Source organism: Homo sapiens, chromosome 6 (assembly GCF_000001405.40).
Source record: "Homo sapiens chromosome 6, GRCh38.p14 Primary Assembly".
NCBI lineage: Eukaryota > Metazoa > Chordata > Mammalia > Primates > Hominidae > Homo > Homo sapiens.
Genome location: NC_000006.12, coordinates 87,901,161 through 87,924,114, shown reverse-complemented (window position 1 = coordinate 87,924,114; position 22,954 = coordinate 87,901,161). Strand labels below are relative to the sequence as shown.

Genomic DNA, 22,954 nt, shown 5'->3' with positions numbered 1-22,954 from the left:
CACCATGTTGCCCAGGCTGGTCTCAAACCCCTGGGCTCAAGCAATCCACTCACTGCAGCCTCCCAAAGTGCTGGGATTGCAAGTGTGAGCCATCACGCCTGGCCTCTGATAATTTTTAAGGAAGAATTTAAAATTGTTTTCAATCCATCAATCATCAATCAATCAATAACATGTTTGTATTTTTATCTTCAATGTGATAGACACTCGGAGTCCTGCAGATGTGGGGATCTGTTCAGGGCCTCTATTCATGCAGCCTAATTTGCATCACCTTCTTCGTTAACTCATGGTAGAGCCGACATCTACTAAAAGTCCTTAGTTGTTTTCCCTAGAACTGCTACAAAGAAAAGTCTCTCCTCCTATCCTATATACTTTTGAAGCAGATTTTTATTTACCCAAGTACAAGACCTTAAGTTTCTTATTAAATTTTTTTCTGTTGGTTTGGCTTTTTGTTCCAATTGTCAAGATCTTTTTAAAATCTGCTCTTCTTATCTAGCCTATTAGCCGTCCTGCCCCGCTTTGTGCCAACTGCAAATTTGATCAGCAGGTCTCTTAAGTCTTGATCCAAGTCCCTAATGAAAATGTTCAACAGGACAGAGCCAAGGACACAGTCTTGCACTGCCCATTTTCAATAAATAAATACAAATATTTTTTGTTTGTCTTTCGGTGTGTTCCCTTCATTATGTACAAGGCTCCTAATAAACAAAGAGGTTTGTGCTAGGCAAATCAATAACCATCACCATTATCTGATCTAGTGATAATAGCAGTAAACACTAATCACAATCCAACTTGAGCCAACCTAGAAGCACAGCAGCATTAGTCAGAGTGATGGAACATATGGCTGTGTCCACATCTGCTCTGAGGCATCCAGATGGAAGAGGAGGTGGGCCAGGGGGCAGGGGTGAGTGAACAGTGGGGTAGGAAGGAGAGAGGAGGGAGCAGACAGGTGAAGGCTGACAGGGGAGTGGGGCAGGGACTAGGCTCCCAAATCAATCTCCACGATTGTGTGGTTAATGTGCAAACAGCACACAACAGCTGCTGGTGGCTCCCATCCGTGACAGTACAACTGTATGACAAATACTTCCTGTCACACTTAGAGAGCTGTGTCTTCTGCTTTTTGGTTAATGGACCTTTGACATGCCTACTCAAATCACTTCTTCATAGGCCTTACAAGTCTTTGTCACAAATATATGCTAATGTTTTTCTTCTCTGTGTGGCTGTTTCCTTTGAGCTATCACCAAGCATGGGTCCTATGCTACCCTGGTCCTCCCCATCTCTCCTCCACAGCCTCCCAGAAGCTGGCACACTCCTGACTTGTGCATCTCCCTACATAAAAGAACACTCACCTAACTGATAAAAGATGTAAATTCAAGCACAGTTCTTGCTTAAAGCAACATTTAACCCTCCCTGTGCCTTGGTTTCAGAACTGAAAAAGGAAAGTCATGACTGCAGCTTTTTTGTAAGACTAAATAAGATAGCATGTGGCAAAGAAGTAGATGCTAAGTATTAGCTGAATCTGAGTCCATACCTGCAGAAGACATGGGCTTGACTTACTCCAAACCTCTGGCTTTGATTATTTATAAACATGGGCAGGGTTAGCAAATGGGTTTTGCAATCTTCAGTGTTTTGCCAGTCACCCTTGTTGGCCTCCTGAGAACATGTTGAGGACCTTTTACAGTATTCTCACATTTGCACTGATTCTTTCATTCACTCAACATTTGCTGTCAACTCTGTGCCAACGCTGGGCTGAGCCCCAGGCATACAAAGATGATTGAGGCAAGATCCTGGCACTAAAGTATCTCACGGTCTAGTGCCCATCACCCATAGTAACAACCCCCCCCCCAAACACACACAGACACACACACCACCCAGCAGCAACACCAGCAGCAGCAAAAGTTCACATACCAGACCCTTACTATAGGCAATATACTCTGATACTTTATGTTCTATTTTACTTTTTAAATTGACTTCACCACCCACTAATGGGATGTTGACCCACAGTTTTAAAAGCTCCATTTTGGGGTTGGATATGTGTGCTAAGTTCTATTATCATTTACTAGATTGCTATGGGAATGCCAAAAAAAGAGCTCCCAGGCCTAAGAGAATCAGCAGACCTAACACTTAAGCTGGAAGGATAGTCAGGTGTGCATGGGGTATTTGGTGTTCTCAGAAGAGGAAACATCATGAACAGTGCATGGAGGAATGAAAGCATGGCTGTTCAGGGAATTTTTTTTTTTTTCTTAGATGGAGTTTTGCTCTTGTTGCCCAGGCTGGAGTGCAATGGCATGATCTTGGCTCACTGCAACCTCCCCTTCCCGGGTTCAAGGGATTCTCCTGTTTCAGCCTCCCAAGAAGCTGGAATTACAGGCGCATGCCACCATGCCTGGCTAATTTTTGTATTTTAGTAGAGACAGGGTTTCATCATATTGATCAGACTGGTCTCCAACTCCTGACCTCAGGTGATCTACCAACCTTGGCCTCCCAAAGTGCTGGGATTACAGGCGTGAGCCACCACACCTGGCCAACTGTTCACAGAATTCTAAGAAGTTTTGAATGGTTAGAACACAGGGAACTTTAGGGGAAATGGGGGAAATATGAGGCTTTAGAGATAAATAGAGATTTTTTGTTTAAAGCAAATATTACAGAGCCAATGACTGAATACTCGGGGAAAAGATTTTTACTGCCAAGCAGGAAACTCAATCCAGCACAGAGTCTAGGCTCTGGGAAAAGAGGTTTCAGGAGAAGAAGAAACAAGATAGGTTTTTTAAAGCCAAGAGACCACACCCTGTATTTAAAAAGCAAACTCTCTTGAGTATTGCTGATTGGTTGGAGGCATCTTGGTGTGTGGATTTGGTTAAGCACTGGGCTGGGTGGAGAGCTCTGCTGTGTACCAGAGCACCCACCTCAGGATTGTGGCACCCAGAGGTTGTTTTAGCAGAAGTCATGTCTGCACCACTGACAGCTGATCCAGCAGCCCAGTTGCCTCTGTCAGGAATCAGATCATGAAGAAATTTGTGGCCTGCTAGAGAGTTTGGGTGTTATCGGCCATGGAGGCCAGTGGAAGATTTAAAGTAAGAGGGTACCTAAAAATTGGTAGAAGCATCAATATCACAGCAGAGTAGCAGATAAGATTGGAAGGAAGAATTAACTGGAGGAACACAAACCAGAAAAGCAGCTAAGGTTAGTAGTTCAGGAGATGGTGATGGTGGGCTGAAAGAGAAAAGAGCTGATCAGGAAGAAAAGGAAAGGCTGGATTAGGAAATGGAAAGTTGGAGAATCAATATGATCTAGGGGCTGATTCAATGTAACAGGTGAGACAGAGGGAAAATCCACAATGATGCATCAGGTTACTAACTTGGGTGATGAGAAGATTGTGGAGACCCCCGAAGAGAAAATTTGGGGTGTTTGGGGAGAGAACGGGAGGATCAGGTCAGCACAAAAACAGTGCTAGAGTACCCAGACTTGTCTCCCATGTATTACCATGAGCAGAGAAATCTCCCATTTACAATGTTCATGAACCCAGGAATTATAGAGCTACCCTTCTCTTCCAGATGCCTAAGGAATCATCATTAGGATCAGGGCCAGGAGGAAGGGGAAGTGTCTGCCTGCTGGTGTGCATGGCGTGAAGGTCGTCTCTGCCATCCAGAAAGCAGACTTTCTCCCACAGACACCAGATACGGTGGGGACTCTTGGGGCTGCAGAGCAACTCCTCCCTCTAGTTGAGCATTGAGCTGGATGAAGAGAGGTAGAAGGATGCATTTGTCAGCTCTGGCTCCAGAAACACTTGCTGGCCATCTCCATCTGGAAACCCAAGTTTGCACTGCCCAGTCACTATTTCAGCTTCTCCTCAGACCTGAGGTTGGAAGAATGATATCTGTAGTGGGTTGAATTGTGTGTCCAAAAGGATATATCCAAGTCCTAATCTCTGGTACCTGTGAGTAAGACTTTATTTGAAAATAAGGTCTTTGCAAATATAATTAAGGTTAAGAGAGATGAGATCATCCTAGATTTAGTGGGAGTTCTAAACCCAATGATTGATGTCTTTGAAAGAGAAAGCAGAGGGACATTTGAGACACAGAGACGCGGGGAGAAGGTGGCCATGAGAAGATGGAGGCAGAGACTACAGTTACACAGGTGCAAGCCAAGGAACACCAGTGGTGGCCGGCACCCATGAGATGCTTGGAGAATGGCATGGAATGAATTCTCCCTCTGAGCCTCCAAAGAGAACCAACCCTGCTGAATTTGGACTTCTTGCCTCCAGAACTGTGAAAGAATAAGTTTCTGCTGTTTGAAACCCCCGTTTGTGGTAATTTGTTATAGTAGCCCTAGGAAACTGAGATAATATCCCATTTAATTGCTTTTATGGCACTTGGGTACAGGAAACCTAGTGACCATCTCAGAAGTAATCACTACTCTCTGGTGGCTTGCCTCTTCTCCCCCGCCTATTCCCCTCAGATAGACACCTTCTCAACCAGCTGTTTCCCATCTTTTCTTCATTCTTTCTCTAGAGCAGAAGCTGTTCTTCCCAGCTTAGATGCTGTTCTGAACTCAGGGTAACAGCCAATTAAGCAGGTCTTTACTGAAGTCTTGCAGTACACCAGATGCTAAAGGTGCCCAGTAGATCCCAAGTGTGACAAGGACCAGAAAAAGCACACTTTTCTCAGGCATTTAGTAAGAAAAGCCTTTCCCATTTTATGTTTTTTATTTCTACTACCCAGAGCAATATGACATTCCAGGGCAATCATTCTTACATTTCAGAAAACATCAAAAAATAGCTTATCCTTAAAACAAAGTTGGAGAGCTCATCCTATTCTAAGGCTTGGCCTGAGCCTGTAGATCAGAGAGGGTTCCATGATCTTAGGAAGTCACCCAGGACTTCTCATTTCCACTTGAACACCTAACACTATACCAAAGCAAGTATTTCCCCAGATTGCCCCAGTTCATGAACTGACCGTGTAGTGTGATGTAGAAATTGCAAATTTTGGTGAGCCCTGGAATTAAAATGTGTCTTCCTTTCTGGAAATTTAAAAAAAATAAATGAAAGGACTAGCCATATCCACATATGGTTCTGCCCTAGTCATTTAACCTCTGTTTGGCCCAGTTTGCTTATTTATGCATTAAGTGGAGATTGTGAAAGGACATCTTATGAATTAATTAATTAACAATTGAAAGGGGCTTTAAAAGTGCTATGCAAATGATAAGCATTATTGTAAGGCCCATGGGAACCTGAGACAAAGCAAGGAGCCAAACTCCAAATTGAGGATTATAACCAAGAAGCAAATGTCAGCACTTTGGAATGTGAAAGAATGATTAACATTGGTTACGATGATGTCGGTTTTTTCTAATCCAGATAGAGAGGTGAGAAACTGTTAAAATGTGGATTCAGTTTGAAAACCCATACGAGCCCAGATGCTCTGTAAGTGGTTACACTTCAGCAAACGCCTGCACATTAAAACATAATCAAAAGATCGAACCAAACTGGAACTGGAGAAGAAGCAGGTGCATAAAACAAATGCTGTCAGCATATGTGTGAGCACAAACAATTCATTGTGCCCACATAAGTCATATGATTGGCATTTGCAGATGTCTACATATATTTAGTTCAAATATTACAAAAATAAAACCTCTTGAACCCACCTAATTTTAATATTACACTCGTTAGAGAGATAAAACCTCTCTCAAACCATTAGCCCATGGAAGTTCTCCAGGCAAATCAGCTTAGTTTTCTGTTTTCTATTTCTCAGAAAATGGACTCTTGGCTTTACAGAGGCCTGAAGCAGCCATTGGTCCTTATAATTATAAACAAAATGTGGTAATTCATCTCTTTAAAAAAATTATTCAAATTAAGCTATTGAGATGTGGCTGTATTGTCTTCTAAAAGAATAAAAAGCTATCTTAATAATAACAACAATAAAAATGAAGAAACAGTTTACATTTTTTTCCAGTTTAAGCAACTTCTGGCTTCAGTAATTATAGAAGAATAGCTTTGCAGATTGAAAAAGCAGCTGTTAGTGTCCAGGCCTGACTTAACTTTTATTTTCCTGCCTGAATGGCACTTTAAAGCGTCCAGCATCCTGTGGTCTTTAGCTTACCAGGCAAAAGCAGAGCTTTCTAGACTGGCAGCTTCTCATTTCCAAATCATCATGATCTATGGGTAAGCAACAGCAATCATAGAATTCAGGACTAGGTAATGAAGTTAGAGACCAGGAAAAAAAAAGACACTCCAGAAAATCTGTCTTCCAAAATATTTCCTCTGGAAATGAGAACAAATGTGTGATCTTTATATTTCTGTGCTGCCTTTGTTGCTGATCATTCTTGTCCAATTGACTAACCAATTATGGCAAAGAAGCATTCAAGGTTGTCTGGGCAAATAATAATGGTCCTACCGTAATACAAACTACTTGAGCTAACATGGTCCTTGACAAAGCCAAGCTGCTTTTTCCACATCTCTGCTATTGATTACATGATGAAAATGTTAAATGCTCAAAAATTTGGTGAGCCCCATTTATAGGCATTCATTTTGAAAAAGTATTATCGTAATGACAGCCGACCTAGGTGGTCTTTGGGCACAGTGACTCAGCTGCATTTATTTGGCTTCCCCAGGACCTTCCTGGGTACCAAAGTTTAGTTTGTAGGATTCTGTTTCCTTGATACACACACACAAAAAAAAGTAAGTATGGCAGGTCTGTCTAAAATAAAACACCCTTTTATATTCTTTTCTAGTTCTTTTAGGTGCCTAAAAAGGCAAGAGAAGTGAGACTATCCGAATCTCCTGAAAGGTTAAAATAATTAAGGGAAGTTTCAACAGAAAGGAAAGAAGGTTTTTAAGCCTTGCACTAAACATAAATTTTTTATATTCCAAAAGAAAAATACCCCAGAAGTTAAATCCTTCATAAAGGTCATCTCAGAAAATCTCAGATCCTAACTTTGGTCCCATGTCCTCATGTCTTCAAGAGCAACCTCCTTCTAACCTGCACTCCTCTCTGACTACCTTTTGAGAAACCCCTCTCTACTTATGGTATCTACCTCCTCTGCAGCAGCACAATTCCTAGGTCTGAGATGCTCAGTCTGGAATAAGAACCAGAGGCCTTGAGGATAATAGATCACAATGGCCTGGCACTCTGAGGCAGGAAATTTTCCCTGACCCCTTCGTGGGCCTTACTTAGCCTGCAGCTCTCAATCCCTTGCAGGAGGGAGAGCACGCAGGTAAGTGGGTGCAGGAGTCAGAGCAAGTGCTTTTGGGTGCTGGCAGGAGCAAAACTCCGTGTGGGCCCACAGCAGCATCTGGGGGGGAGTATCTACAACCCCCAAAGCCCCAGAGGGCATGTGTTACAGTGCTCTTTTAGCTTTGCCATCTGCAGACAGCTTAAGTGTTAAACAGCTCAGTGGGCCTTCTGCCTTTTTGCATAAGGCAGTTGCTCTCCACCAGTGAGGGCAGAGGGTCAGTGTGACAGCCTTTAGCATCTGAACCTATGGAACTTAAGCTCTTGTTTGGCATCCAGGAAAAATGAGGTTGCACAAATGAACTGAAGGGTGGTAAATGCAGAGGATTTTGTTGCCAGTGAAAGTGGCTCTCAGCAGGAAGGGGAGCTGAAAGGGGGATGGAGCAGGAAGGTGATCTTCTGAAGCAATGCTGTCAAGCCGTTCCTCTGAAGTCAAGCTGCTTTTCTCCACATTAAACCACATTCTCTGACTTTCAGCTGCTTCTACTCTCTCCCCTTCTCTGTTCTCTGCCAGTGGAGCCTGGGGTTTTTGTGGGTACAGGAGCAGGGCAGGGAGGGCCAGGGGTGGTTTTGGAAAAGGCAACATTTGAGTGAGAAAATGGGGAGTAAAATTCTCGCTTTGGGCCATGGTTCCAGGCTTGAGGGTGGGGCCCTCACCAGGGACCCCGCCCTTTCCTGCCCAGAATTTCTCTGCCTCTTGTCCCTATCAACGCCATGTCCCAAGGGGTGTGTTCTGGTTTTGGCACTTAAGTCCTGCAGTGGAACACTAGATGGATGTAGGCTCTTGATTTAGTCATCTTTAAGAGGTAAGCTGAAGACACACCTATCCCTGTTGTCCAGCATTCTCAGAAAGTTGTAACGGTCTAAACCAATGGTGAATAAGAGAAATATTTTCCTAACTCAGTCTTAACTCACAATAAAAGCAGAACCATATTATTGTTCAAAGCAGTCTAATTTCTTTCCTTTATCTGTCCTTCCCTAAGCCTTACCCCCACTTATAAATTGTGTCCGTTGAGCTTTCCTGGCATGAGAAATTGCCCCATTAAAAATCAGATATCTCTTTAAAATCCTTAGTCACACATAGACCCTGCTGAATGTTTCCTTTATTCATTCATTCAACAGATATTCATTCACTGCCTATAGGCACCTTGCTAGGCATTCAGAGTACAATGGTGAGTAAAACCCCACATAGCCCCTTGCCTTTATTAGAGCATAATTTATAGGGGCACAATCTATTTTTTTCAGCAAGGGGCATCCTCTTCCCCATCCTCTGGGCAGAAAAGATTGAAGATCTTTCTCCTAGTTACATTTGTTAGAAGCCCACAGAGAAAGCACTTCCTAAATGAGTTATCATTTTATCATTGATTTAGACCAGGTTGCCTTTATCCTGCGTGCTTTTGGTACAGAATTGCTATAACGCAAAGCAATGAAATAGCAAGTCCTAAGAGGGCCTTTCAAATTGTTCTGATTCTATAATGAAATAATCAGAGTGTGAAAGCTCAGAGCTTAGAGATTATCTACCCACCTCCCACCCTCCACACACACATATGCACCCATTTCGCAGATGAAATATCCCTCAAGGCTGAGGGAGAAAGGTGTGCCATGTCTTGTTTAAAGCTAAACAAGTTGTTAGCAGAAGAAGCAGAACAAGCTGGGTCAGCTGCCTGCTAGTTCTAGACTCTCTCCACCACATCCTGCCGCCTTATAAGGAACATTTGGCTTCTGGAATCTGACTACTAGCTGTTCTGCTGCAGCTGCTAGTCACCACCAGCCAATGAGAGGGTAATTTGTTATCCTCTGCATTGCCCTCTTTCTAATTCTACTCACATGCAGAAACAGAATCTAATAAATATGGTACTCACAGTCTTACAATTCTCCCTATGATGGAAACCAGCATTCCTTTTCCAGAGGAAAATGCAAACATGTATACAAGCCGAATGACAGGAAGAAAAATCACTTACATGTCAGCATTGGAGAACATGTACATGTTTCATTACATTGAAAACCAAATTCCTTCTGAAATTACCTAAGAAAAAACTAAGAAAAATAGCAAAAAGACAATGTCAGCAAGTTCTCAGAAAATATATTTTCTATATTTTTCTTTATTAGCAGGTGAGAATAGTGACAGATAAACTGTGCCTCTGTCCTGCCGTAAGATATATGTCATCCAAGGTTGTAGAAGTTGACACTCATTTTTCTCCATGTAACTCATAATTCATTAATTAAAATTAGAAAACATGGTTTGGTCATCAAATGTTCAAATGTTTACATTTTTGTACAGATTTATACAACTAGTTCCCACATTTTGAAATAGAGAAAGTGTAAATCAGGTATAAACAATACAGTCAGCATGAGTGTTCACCATTTAGGAAACAATTTGGGGGGAAAAATAATGTTTAGAGTTTGAAAATGTCCTCTAATTCCAATTTTGTAGCTCCAGTTTCATTTTTTAAACTCTGGTTCTTGAATCCTAGTCTTCAGGGGTTAGTGGAGGTTAAAGATTGCTCTACCTACCAGTCTCGGAACATGTGTGTTTTAACACATTTTAAAGTTTTTATTAGGTGCTCTTTTATTACCTTTACGCTGGAATCCCTGGTGGCCATACTCGATTTTTAATAAGGTAGAAATCCTGTAAAGTGATTGTTCAGTGGTTACATTTAACCAGCAGGCCCGTCGCTGAGCCAAAAGGTCGGCTGCTAAGCTCAGGGAGGAAGCTGGAGAGAAAGCAAGCTGGCTCAGCCTCCCCATTTTAAATGAAGGCCCTTTCATTCTGCTGCTCATTCAGAATCAAAAAGGTTTCAAAGCTCATTCACTACCATGGGAGAAGGGGGCAAAAAGGAGAGGGTGCATTTTGCTACTCGATATCAGAAAAACAGAAGCCTGAGCTGAGCACTGGTATCCTTAGACAACACAGTCTTATAGTATACTATTATTCAGTGTTGTTGTTATACTTTTGCAACGAATATGAAGTTTTATTCATAAAAATAAACAGGTCACTCAGCCAGGAGGCCAAGAAAACCCAGTAATGTATTTCCTGCTGTAAAGGCACAGTGGGGGCCCTTCTCTGTCCCCACTCTTTATCTCTTTTACACATGGAACCATCTGGGTTGGGGGGCAGGCACAGAGTTCAAGAGGCCCTCACAGGGATTCTGAACAATCCCAGTTCTCAGTGTGCCTGCCATCAGAAAGGGAGAAAGGTGGAAATGTTTCCAATAGAGGAAATAATTAGTGAGAGACACAAAACCACTAAGCTAGAGAGATGCCAGCCATATTTTGAAGAATTAGGTGTGTGGAGGTGTTGCGGGGATGACCTTTGGGACAAAATGCCAGTTTTGAGATATAGCTATGTGCATGGGGGTGTATGCTGAAATGCATCCTTCACCTCTGAAAAGGATAGTAACTAACTTAGGGTCTATTTTCTTCCAGCACTATGCTGGTAACATGTCACTAACAACTGTTTTGGAGGAAAACCAGGATGTGGAACATGTTGCAAATGTAGGCTTTGCCACAGGATAAGTGGGAGTACAACAATGCCTGAGATTGGCCAAGAGGATTTGGAGGGAGCTAAATAATATAGATGGATACAAACTCAGAAGCTTCTTCTTTTTTTTTTTTTTTTTTTGGCAGAGTATCACTTTGTCACCCAGGCTGCAATGCAGTGGCACAATCTCAGCTCACTGCAACCTCTGCCTCCCAGGTTCAAGCGATTCTCCTGCCTCACCCTCCTGAGTAGCTGGGATTATAGGTGTGTGCCACCACACCTAGCTAATTTTTTGTATTTTTAGTAAAGATGGAGTTTCACTATGTTCGCCATGCTGGTCTCGAACTCCTGATCTCAGGACATCTGCCCACCTCGCCCTCCCAAAGTGCTAGGATTACAGACATGAGCCACCACGCCCGGCCAAACTCAGAAGCTTCTTAGCAGGTCTTGCACAAAGTAACAGGGTCCTCTTAAAATCAGTGTAGGCTTTAGGGTCTACAGTTTTGGTAACCTAGTTGAGAATCTCACCCCACTGCTGCTCTGTATAGCCATGGGGATGAAAACTCTCTATTACACACACATATAGAATGCACTGTTGCCCACCTAAACCATTACTACTTAAGATATAGGGCAATCTTAACTAAAATTGCACAACCATCTGGTTAACCCAACTGTTGGACTTATCTCATGCTAGGGGTTTAAGGTAGTGTTTGGGCTCCCAAACTTCTACTCACTCTCCTTCCTCTCCATTGCTGTGGCCAATAGAGCAGACATGCCCAAACAGACATCTGAACAAGAATCCAAATATTGGACTTATAACAGACTAAGCAACTATCTAAATACACCTCTGCCCAAGGTTTAGGCTTCCTGGAAACAGCTAAATTGGAGAATGTGGTTTGGCTACATATCTCCTACCTCAAATTGAGGACAGACAGACTGATGGGAAAGGGGACACCTGAGTAGCACCCTAGTTGTAGTTAGAAAAGCTAGAACAGAAAGTGAAAATCCCTGTCTCCCCTCATCAGTATCATCAGTATAGGAAGAGCTTGCTTTGGTGTACAAAGCAAGGAGGAGGTGGCCCTTTTAACTGACAAATGAGACAGAGCCCGCTTTATTTATTTATTTATTTATTTATTTATTTATTTATTTTGTTTTTAGAGAGATAGACATATGTCCATTCTCTATTGAGGAACATACCCCCATCCTTTTATAATTTTCCAAAAGAAATATCAATCTTTGACCATTTGCATTAGCCATTCATTCACCAAAGGGGAGGAGCAGGGGGCAGATTAGAGAAAGTGTCAGGAAGGTTGATTCCAATACACTTGTATTTGGGAAGATATTCCCCTTCCACAAATCACAGCTCAGTGAAATCTGGGGAGGCCAGCAGAGAACAGAAGGATACTTTAAAAGTTCCAATGCAACTGAAGATGCTGTGCGAGATGCCAAAGAAATAGAAAGAGTTCCTGCCTTTGTAGATCAGGACACCAAACTTGCATAAGATTCAACAAGAAAAAAATAAAATAAAAACACAAAATAATAATAAAGTTCAAACTGTATGATATTATCCACTTCCATCAGGTGAACTTCCAAAGATGAAGGGGGAGAAATTGGGAGGAAAAGGGAGGTCACAGAACAACAATCTTCCCTTCCAGGACATTGCTCTCTGCTGGGGAAGCACCTGTAGTGTGAGGTGCCCAGTCTCAGCTCATGGACCAGCATTTGGGTACTCTTTGGGAGCAACCATTGAGCCCCAAGTTTTCTGAAGCAAAGTGATGACAGATAATCAAGCAGTCACTAGTTGGGCTGCTCCTGAGCTTTGGTTTTCTGCAACTCTGGTACCATTGGTGCCTTAGGCTGGCTTGTCAAACACTCCTGCCATCATTCCACCACTCTCATTTACTCTTTCCCTTCTAAAAGCCTTTTCCAACCAAACAAGTGCCTTTTCTGGCCTTGATCATCACCTGACATCTTTTTAACAACTTTGTTGAGGTATAGTTTGCATGCCATAAAATTCACCTGTTTTAAATGTAAAATGTACTGCCTTTTAGTAAATTTACTGAGTTGTGTAACCATCACCATAATCCATATTTAGAACATTTCTAGCACCCCAATAAGATCCCTTATGCCTGCTTTCACCTAACATCTTAATGATATTGTTTGGCAGGTAGCTAAGAGTAAGGCTAAGACACAAAGGGAAGCAGAGGGAGTAGTGAGCCTTAGAAGGCAAAAGAATACCAGAGAGGTGCAGGTGAGAAATGTAGAAGAGATCAAAGGCTTCACATGGCTCACAGCTCTACTGAAGGCTTCAATGATGGAATGCATGCCAGATGTGGCAATCCTTCATCTCCACTCCTCAATGAAAAGCCATAAGAGTGCATGGCCCCACTAAATGCAACATGACTGACAGCAAAGTGTAGACAACCTCTTTTTCAACATGCCCAATATCTAACAATGCCTTGTGCAAAGTTGAAACTTAATGTTTTTTGAATTGAACTGAAATGAGTTGGAGAGATGAAAAGTTGGAAGAGGAAAAATGTCTTCTCATGGACAATTGTCACCCAACATCCTTTCTCACTTCCCAATGCCCCTCCAGTTTCCTTTTTGATAATTACCTCTTTCCATCATGTGTGGTGTTAGAGGGATGATAATTCCTGGAGTGTAGTAAACCATAGAATCAGATTTTCCTTCTTCCCGTCTCAACATATCCAGGGACAAAAAGTTTCATTTTGACACTATAAACCAATGATGCAAAGTCAGAAGGAATGATTAGACATCATCCATGGCCACAGTTGTCCTGGCCCCAGCCAGACTCAACCTGTGTGAAGCAGATGCTATGCTTCCTGCTTCCTGGCCTTCCAGAGGTGCCCTGTTCCTACCTATTTGCAAGCCCAACTGTCCATCCTCCTGCTGATTCTGTGTCCTCCCAGTAATTCCATTTTATTACCTAGAATTGGTTTCTGTTGCTTGCAACTGAGGAATCCTAACCCCTTCATGCCCTTTAATGGCCATGGCATTGATGAGGTGAGAGGTAACAAGAGTCATGGTGTCACTTCCATAAGAGGCATTCAGGGCAAAAATGGGGGTGACTGAAGAAATTATTTCCTGGCAGGAAAGGAAGAGCAGTCAAAGTTGACCCTAAAGTTTTATATTTCAAATGTGTTTCTACCACACAGGGTTTTTGGTCATTTGAACTTTCACCCAGGTGAGCTAAGAAAACTGGTGGCATATTTCTCATAAATGGATCAACAGCGCAGGCTATTTTAAGACCTAACGTGTGAGGATGAGCAATTTTCACATGCTTTTCACTTCACTGAGAGAACAACCAACATGGCTTGTCGAGCAGTTGGTCTCACTGCTCAACCTCACGCACGTGCCGCCTGGGCCGGTGATTCAGTCCCCCCAAAACACTGCTTCCTTCTGAATTGGAGAGCCAAGGTTATGAGTCAGCCCTGCTCAGAGCCAAGACACTTCGATTCAGTGTTATTTTTTGCCTTACCACACAAGGTTCAAAATGTCCAATCTCTTTTCTTTAATGCCAATGCCCCAATAGTTAGGAATCACAGTCCAGAGCTGCTTTATTAAAAATGTTCATTTTCAGAAATCATTGATCCTGAAATCATTGCACTCTTCTGAAATAAAAAATAAATAGAAAGAAAAATCAATCAAGGAAATAGCAAAATGGTAAGCGGTACAATATGACATGTTAATGCTAAATGCCAGCTTCATGGTTCAACGCCCAATTTATTATGTTGAAAGCACTAGGCAGAAGACAGGCATCAAATGAAATGAGGACTGAATAAATGTGCTACTGCATAAAAACTATTTATGAATTTCCATGCTGTTTGTCATTGAATAAAAGCTATAATCATTTGATAGATATACATTTTTGTCAGTGTTACTTCAAACTGATACTTCATCAAATTGCTACAATCCTTTCAGGTGTGAGAATCATAGAGCTTCTTTGACGGAAATCATGACTTAATGCATGAAAGCTGAAAGACCAGCAAAAATTACAGAGCAACAGCCCATTACTAAAGGGCCATGGTATGAGAGACACATAATGCATTTCACTTGGAAGGGATTTCTGAGTTCACCCCTAAGTCCAATCCCTCCACCCAGAGCTGAAGCCTGCCAGTTATAACACAATCCAGATAACATGCAATGGTGTCGTATCACATACTAATGCTATGGTAATTCTCCTAGTATTTCAAAGACTGGGAATCTGAACCAAGAACAGGAATAGATTAGTCAAGTTTATTCAGCTTATGCCTGCATCCTCTCATTGCCCTCTTTAGAATGGAAATACGTCATCATAGTTCAGTTTCCTGAGGTCGCAAAGATAAGACAATATCTACTTTGATTTCAAACAGAATCATCTGTAGATAAAAGAAGGCTCCTCTCTCAAATAAAACAGCTTTTCAAATAGCCTCTCACCACAGTTAGTAATAATTTATGCTTGGTGAACAGGAAAATGTGCTGAATTTATTCATTTTACTGTGTGCTGCCTGTCAAAAGGGCAAGCTGATAAAGACAGAAGTAGGGGTGGGCAATTTATTGGTATTTGCAAATCTGATATAAAAGGTTTTTGTAATTCCTCCTGATTTCAAAAGAAGAAGAAAATTAACTCTGAAAGTGGCAAAACAGAAAATTCCTGTTCTTGTCCATCATATCTGACATTTTACCACGTGGATAATTCTAGAGGCGGGTTTTTCTTTTGTCCTCCAAAATAAATTTTTGCTCCATTTTTGAACCCTAATCAAAAAATTATGCCACAGGAGACACTCTACTTAAGAACCTAGAGTCTAGCCCAGCTTCAAGGGCATAGTCCTACTGTGTCGCATTTTCCTAAACACCTGTAACAGCTGGACAGCTGTTCATTCCCCTCCTCTGCCAACCCAGTCATTTGCTTTAACCAGGACAAGTTTATTTTCAATCTTAATTATTTCTGAATTGAAACTTTATTTTCTTACCTGGTTTCAGGATGTGTTTTAGAGTGTTTTGGGTTTTGAAAATTCACTTTGAAATGGGATATGGTTTTTACGTCCTCTTCTTATGCTGTCTCTCCTCAGGAGTTGTTGAAACTCCTTACATTTAAATTCCTTAGGGGGCACTTGTAGTTTTGTGCCTCATGTAGCAGACAGGGTATCAGGTACAGCTGGAAGTTTGGGGAATTAACTTGACTTGAAGCTCAGATAACCAGAAGTCTTAACTCATATGCTACCCTCTTTTTTCCACCATAAAAGATAATAAAGTCTTTATCATAAATTAAAAGTATAGCATGAAGATTGGGGCATTTTGAAGAGAAGAAAGTTGTTTGAAGTTCAGAATTTAGCAAGTTCATTTTATAGACTTCATGTATGGGTTGCTTTTTGTTTAATAGCACATCACAAAATTCTAGCTGAAAGCCATGAGATAATATAGCTTAATGATACTAAGGTTCATTTATAAAAATTATAATTTAATCATAAAAATACATTTTAGATACAAAAGCTTCTTTCTGAGCTCACATCTCCCATTTATGTCTGAAAGAGCACAGGCAATGCCACCCACTGAGCATTCTTGGTGGTAACTGGTTCTAAACCTCAAATTTCAAAATAATCACACTCAGACACACCACAACCACATCCTGGATCATCAGAAGCCAAGAAAATCCAGTGATGAAAGTTTTTCTTAATCCCACAGGCATCTATGGTGTGGGGAAGAGGACTGTGTTGCTATAGCTACTGATCCCCCCATTTTTGGCTTCTTTGACCTTTCCTCCCCTTGGGGGAGGAAATACTGCTGCAGTAGCCTGTGGAGGCTATGGGGAGAGCAGATCCACCTTCGAGTTCAAGAGAAAGACATTCTCCAGGAAGCCCTCCTCTCCTCACATTTGGCGACAGTTACAAAGCAGAATTGTCTCCTCTTTAAGTGGCCGTCGTGAAGCCCAGAGGCAGTGTGGGATGCTGAATGAAATAACAGTTTCCAAAGTACCATCCGATCAAGCCTTCCCATATTCTCCTGAGATTCCTTTCACTACTGCTCAAAGACTTGGGGGTCTGGAGTCTTTTGTTTTTGTGTGTTTGGTTATTTACCATTAGATGGTAACATAGGGATGGGCCCTGGCTATATTTCCACTCCTTGTTCTTGCTCCTGCATAAATCATGGAAATCCTCACCTTAAAAACTTCTTTTGACCATAACCTTGACTTCATTGTGAGGCATTTAGAAAAAGGCGTGGCCTATCCAAGTAAAGGGCAGGTACTCAGCTTACCCACCAGCTACAACTTGTCACAAACTGACACATAACCTGGCTCTCTATCCATCTCCATTGGTTTTTACACTCACTGAGGAAGCATCATGGTATACCAGAAAGTCTAGGCTTTGGATCAAACATATTTGGATGTCAATTCCAGCTCCTGGATCCAAACATATTTGGATTTAAATTCCTTGAGTAAATTACCCCCATCTTCAAATCTGTTTCCTCAATTAGAAAGGGCTGTTAGGAAGAGGCAATGCAAAACGAGCACTTAGTGTGCTGTGCCAGGCACATACTAAGCGTGTAAAGGATGTTAGCTATTATTATTGTAATTTACTTCATAGGGATGCTGTGCGGAATTAAATGAGATGACATCTGTGGAAGGCCAGGCCCATTTGGAAGAGCTCAAAAAACACTAGCTCCTTTCCTCTTAAGAACAATTAAGTTCTTTCCAAATCTGCTTAGGTTTCAGGTGAAGACCTTGGATTTGAATCCAAGGTGCTTCCCTGCAGCCACTTAACGATACACACCTCTCCCTGTGCCTGCAGCCCCATAGGGGGAGCATCCTAAACACCTTTATGACATCTTTCCCCCTCCCCACCTTAAGTCCAGTTCTGTTGGGTCTTCTTCACCTCACTGTCTGGCCCTCTCTTCGAATACTGAAATGTTTTCCCAATGTCTTCCCTCCTGATTTCTAGGTTGGATCATAAACCTTGCCCTTAGCCCACCCACTCCTGTTTCCTCCTCTACTGCTCTGTTCTCTCCCGTCCATCCCTGAGGGGCTCATTACCCAAGCACCATTTACAATGACAAAGCAAATGCACTGCATTTAGATTGATTTTTGTCTTAGTCAAACTGGGGTACATTTGTAATACAGAAAAGGATTGGTGTGTTTCATCACAAGGAATTAAAGCTATTATCTCACAAATCTGATTGATGTGAGCAGCCAAAACAAATATGTTGAGTAATTTCTTCCCTTACTAACTAGTTCTTTGCTTGAATCTTCCAGTTAATAGTTACGCCTGGCAAATTCTCAAATGGTATATATTATATTCATCCCAGCACTTGCGTTCTGTTTTGGATATGATTTTGAAAGAAGACATCTTAGAGAGTAAATTCTTGAGGAAAGGACATAAATAGATAAATACCAGATATAAATAGATAAACATGAATAAAAATGCATATTTCAGAAACATTGTAAAAAATAACAATAATAATAATAATATAATGGCTGTAATTTTTCAAACATCCTCAGACCACAAAGGTAATGCAGAGGGAAAATAGGCGTATTTGTTTTCCTCTTGCCTTATGGCTGAAAGAGCAAAGCATGCATGATTTTTATGACCTGGCTAGTGATGTGTCCCTTCAGGGAGCTATTAACTCTATCCTTGTAGATGGTGCCTGATCCCCTTCAAAATTAGAAATTGCTTAAAACCAGAAAAAAAAAAAGCATTTCATTCCTAAATAGGCCATTAGTGATATTGGATAGTTTGTTATGCTGTAATGCAATATTGAAATTCCTAGAGGCAATGGATTTTCAGTAGTGAATTAAAAAGACCAAACTAAACCAAGTATTTGAGGAATGAGTGAAAAGAATCTTGGGTAGCTAACTATTTTATAGGTTGTGTGTCAGCAAGTGACCTTTTGAAAATAAAATTATTAACTCTCCCCAGAGAACTAAATGCAAATTGAGCCCAGCTGGATTGTGTGGTAGGTATGAAAACATATCTATTTTGATGCAGGGGAGCAGGGGGTGGACATATATGTCACGAAATGTCAGAATAATGACCATCACCCTCAACAGAAAGTAAGTGGACTAAAAATAGCAACATACAGTTTTGGTTCTTAAAAATTATCAGCAAAGATGCAAAGGGTAATGACAGCAGATGTGTACAGCAGGGTTTTAACCTGAGTATGTGCCTGGACATGCTGTGCTGCCTCACTGCACAGCTAATACAACCTTTGACAACCTTTTCCCAGGAATGCAGAAGTCCAAGAATAATGCACATAAACTAAATAGCATCATTTCGTAGCATAAGTTAAAGGGAAGCTAATTTACTGGCTGCATGTTACAATAGATAAAATGAATTTCATTGTCTCCATGCCTGTACCTATCATCAGGCTTAATGTAAATACCCCTTTGAAGGACTATAGCTATCAGACGTGACATTAGAGTGATTCACAAACAGCTCTAATTACATAAGTACAAAACTATATTGTACTTACAGGCTTGCAGATACTAACTAATTTCTCATCATTTGCATCCAAAAACCCTGGTAAATTCCCTTTTCCTGAATATAGTATCTAAATTTTAAATGTGTAGGAAAAGTCACTATTCTACTAAGTGTATCTTTCAATAGATACTTAATTTCCTTTCTGAAGTTACTGTAATTATTTCAGGAATTGAGCCTTTTTGTCCTAGAATTTTTGTTCTCATCAGGATAGACAAGCTCTCCAAGGACACGCTGATATTTCTCCTGGCTAACCTCTGGGGACATTATCAATGCATGGTACAGTAAGTTAATATTTCACCAAAGGTTAAAAAAAATAGAAGAATACAATTTGAGGAGAGGGGATTGTTAAGAATCATATTCAGGTTAAAATATTACATTCATAGGAACTTTAAAAATTTTAAATCAATATAGATGATTTCAACACAGTATATAAATCAAAGCCCTCCTATTTATTCCCTGGCCTGATTGATAGGGTTTCTCTATTAAAATTGCCCATTCCATCCCAAATATGGATAATATATAATTTGAAGTTGAAATCAGGTCCCTTGAGTTTCTTGAGATTGGATAAATGTCTGCAAACATCAACAAACAGGCCTTAAAGTAAGGCAGTAATCTATAAACCATCCTGATGACTTGTCAATAGGAGGAGGGAGACAGGATGAGACTGTAAACTCAGCAACCTCTTCCTGACCTTAACCCTCCCCCAACCTCTGAAAAGTAATGAGGACTGTTCCTTGAGCCTTTGTTTGAGGAAGCTGAGAATAAGAATTGTGAGCTCCTGTATTCCCACAGAGACTTAAAGTATCCACAACCCCTTCAGTTCAAAATTGCTTTATATTTGGTGACCTGAGGTTCAAGTAGATAAGTTTTGCTACATTCAAGAATGCAGAAATAATTCACCCTGTCACTGCACTGAGCAAGACAACCAACCAGGGCTGGTGTGGCCCAGGAAAGGTCTAGGGAAACAGGGAACCGAGGATGTATTTCAAGGGGGCAGGTGGACTGGGGAACAGGAACTGTTTGAATAATTTTCAGAGACTCTGAGATTTTAGCTGCCACCAAAATGAGAAAAAAAGCACCAGATGTAGAGTTAGTAAACCAAGTTTCTAGTCAGCTCTGCCATTAATTTATTTTGTTATCTTGGACAAGTTTCTTAATTTCTCTGGGACTCAGTTTTCCCATCTAAAGACTGGCTGAAACAATGTCTAAGTTACTGTCATCTCTCAAAAGTCTGCAGTTTCGCGACCGTTACTTATTCCTCAGAGATATAAGAAAACTGATGTTAACTATAATCACATAAGTGGAGGAAGAAAGAAAACAAATTGAGTTTTCTCAGCCTTGCTAATAACACTGCAGCGCAGCACTCGAACGGTCAGTGAGAGGCGATGGAACGAATCAAGATCCTTAGACTAATTACATGTGGAAGACCTCCGTGCGTCACCATGGAAACCAAAGGGAAGGTGGCCCCGGTAAAGGTCAAAGACTCGAAAAATAGACATGGCATTATGAGAGATTCCTACACCTCAACCAGATTCATCCCCAGGGCAGTGAGACCCTAATTATTTTCTAAAACAGTATCTCCAAGTAGGGTGTGTGCTTCAGAATCACCTGGTCAGTTACTCATACAGACTCCTTGAACTCACCCAGGCCCACAAAATCAGAATTTCTGGGAAAAGGACTAGGAAATCTGCATTTCTAAGCAATTCCCCTAGTGTTTGTACAATAGCACTTGAGCACTACTGGTCTAACAAATGGAGAGGAAGAAGTTGGAAGAAAAATAATGAAATGCCCAGCATGTAGGCTCACAGAATACCTCTGGAAGTGGAGGAGTCACTGATAACAGTGGTTGCCTTCAAGGAGGTCTGAGGTACACAGAAGAAAAACTTGCCTTCACTGTAAATGTGTTAATGTTGTTAACATTTTTACAATGAGCAAGAATTACATAAATATTTCTAATCCTAAAAAAGATTTTAAGTGCAAATTAAATGTGGGTACAATTTCTCAGATTTGAAAAAAAATGGGCACTCTTTTTAAAGTTAAAGGATAAAGTGATAACAACAGTTTAAAATTTTCTCCTTTCTTTTTTTTTTTAAATCAAATAACCCAACTTGGAAAGGTTAAGCAAAATGCAGTCTTAGTTTTGGATTTTATCAAATGAAAGCTGTCAAAGAAGAGTTTCAGGAAGGATACTTAACAAAGGTATCTCCCCTCAATTCAGCTAATTTCTGGTTTATATCCTAGAATTAATGCCTTGTTACTCACTGTACTATTTTTTGTTTCCTGGATGATTAGCAGTTCTTGCTAAGCAGAGACCATAATGTATGTCCCTTCCTGTTTCTCAAAGTCCCTTTCATGGTACACAGTACATGGTACTTGCTCAATAAAATTCTTATGAAATGTTTTCTTTTCTGTAACATGTAACACTTCCCTTTTGCAAGAAAACCTTGAAATTTAATCAAATTAAACATATTTTTAACTCCAAGGTAGGCTATAAGCTGTGATTTCCAACAATTGTAAAAGAGGATGATGCCTGAAGAGACCAAGGAGAAAGAGATCAGGATCAGAGGCCCAACTGAAACCACCTTTGCAAAAATTATACCTGAGACAATTATGACAGTGAAAGAGATCTAACCTAACCGACTCCATCTTGCTTTTAACCTCCAAACTGTCCTTGTTTATTCCTAGCCTCCCAAGTAGCTGGGATTACAGGCACACACCACCACGCCCAGCTAATTTTTGTATTTTTAGTAGAGATAGCGTTTCACCATGTTGGCCAGGCTGATCTTGAACTCCTGACCTCGTGATCCACCCACCTCGGCTTCCCAAAGTGCTGGGATTATAGACGTGAGCCACTGCACCCAGCCGTATCTTTGAAACAAAGATAACAGCCCTTTCTGAAATAAACCCCCTTCTAGCCAGGGGACTAGACTGCCTTTGCAGGACTAACAAATTAGCCACAAGATTAGAAATTATACTTTAGGAGTCAAGCAGCTGAAGGCTGCAAGATTATGAACCACCCCAAATTGCTCCTGGGGATAACATTACTATTGTAAAACCTAAGATCAGTGCTTGAGATATTTTGCAGACTCTGTACTTGATGGATCAGCTGCCACCACCCAGATCAATAAACTGGCTCATCTGGCCTTGTGGCCCCCACCCAGCAACTGACTCAGCACTGGAGGACAGCTTCGACTCCCTATGATTTCATTTCCCACCTGACCAATCAGCACTCCCCACTTTCAGACCCCCTTCCCACCAAATTATCCTTAAAAACCTCAACCCCCAAGTTTTAGGGGAGACTGATTTGAATAATAATAAAACTCCAGCCTCCCATACAGCCAGTTCTGCATGAATTAAACTCTTTCTATTGCAATTCACCTGTCTAAAGAAAACGGCTCTGTCTGGGCAGTGGGCAAGGAGAAACTGTTGGGCGGTTACACCAGGACCATTTTCACATATGCTCAGGGGTAAGGCAGTTTGCTTAAGAAAACCCCAGGACCAAGAGGCCTACAGCTGAGAGCTATCAGTGAAGGAGACACAGAGGCCTTCTGCCAAGGCAATTGTTTTATATGAAGCACCACGAGCTTACCTGGAATTCACTGAAAAGTGTCCCACCTCACCATCTGAGACAAAGAGAACCAAAGACACAGCATGTGCTATGCCCTCTGTGGGAAGGGGTGGGATGAGCTATGCCTGGTGTGAGAGTTAGAACTGCACCATCAGGTCCCCAGCCAGGGCTCCCCACACTCTGCTGTTAAGTACCTGTTGGAGAGGTCAGC

At 41.3% G+C, this 22,954-nt stretch overlaps 1 long non-coding RNA gene across 1 annotated transcript in view, besides 2 other annotated features; it reads right to left on the bottom strand.

The window, feature by feature from the left end:
- Positions 1–12,383: 12,383 nt before the first annotated feature.
- The window catches only part of LOC101928911 (uncharacterized), a 126,872-nt gene continuing 116,301 nt past the window's right edge, over positions 12,384–22,954 (bottom strand). The window contains exons 3-5 of the long non-coding RNA NR_110869.1: positions 14,201–14,333; positions 13,317–13,436; positions 12,384–12,463 (exon numbers count right to left, since the gene is read on the bottom strand). This is a non-coding gene — a long non-coding RNA (uncharacterized LOC101928911). The remainder of the gene's footprint in view (positions 12,464–13,316; positions 13,437–14,200; positions 14,334–22,954) is intronic.
- Positions 16,528–16,577: an enhancer, noted in NCBI's record as "active region_24812". NCBI's record gives its function as "activates an Ori minimal core promoter by ATAC-STARR-seq in GM12878 lymphoblastoid cells {active_cell/tissue: GM12878}" and the evidence as "EXISTENCE:reporter gene assay evidence [ECO:0000049][PMID:35858748]".
- Positions 18,662–18,911: an enhancer, noted in NCBI's record as "active region_24811". NCBI's record gives its function as "activates an Ori minimal core promoter by ATAC-STARR-seq in GM12878 lymphoblastoid cells {active_cell/tissue: GM12878}" and the evidence as "EXISTENCE:reporter gene assay evidence [ECO:0000049][PMID:35858748]".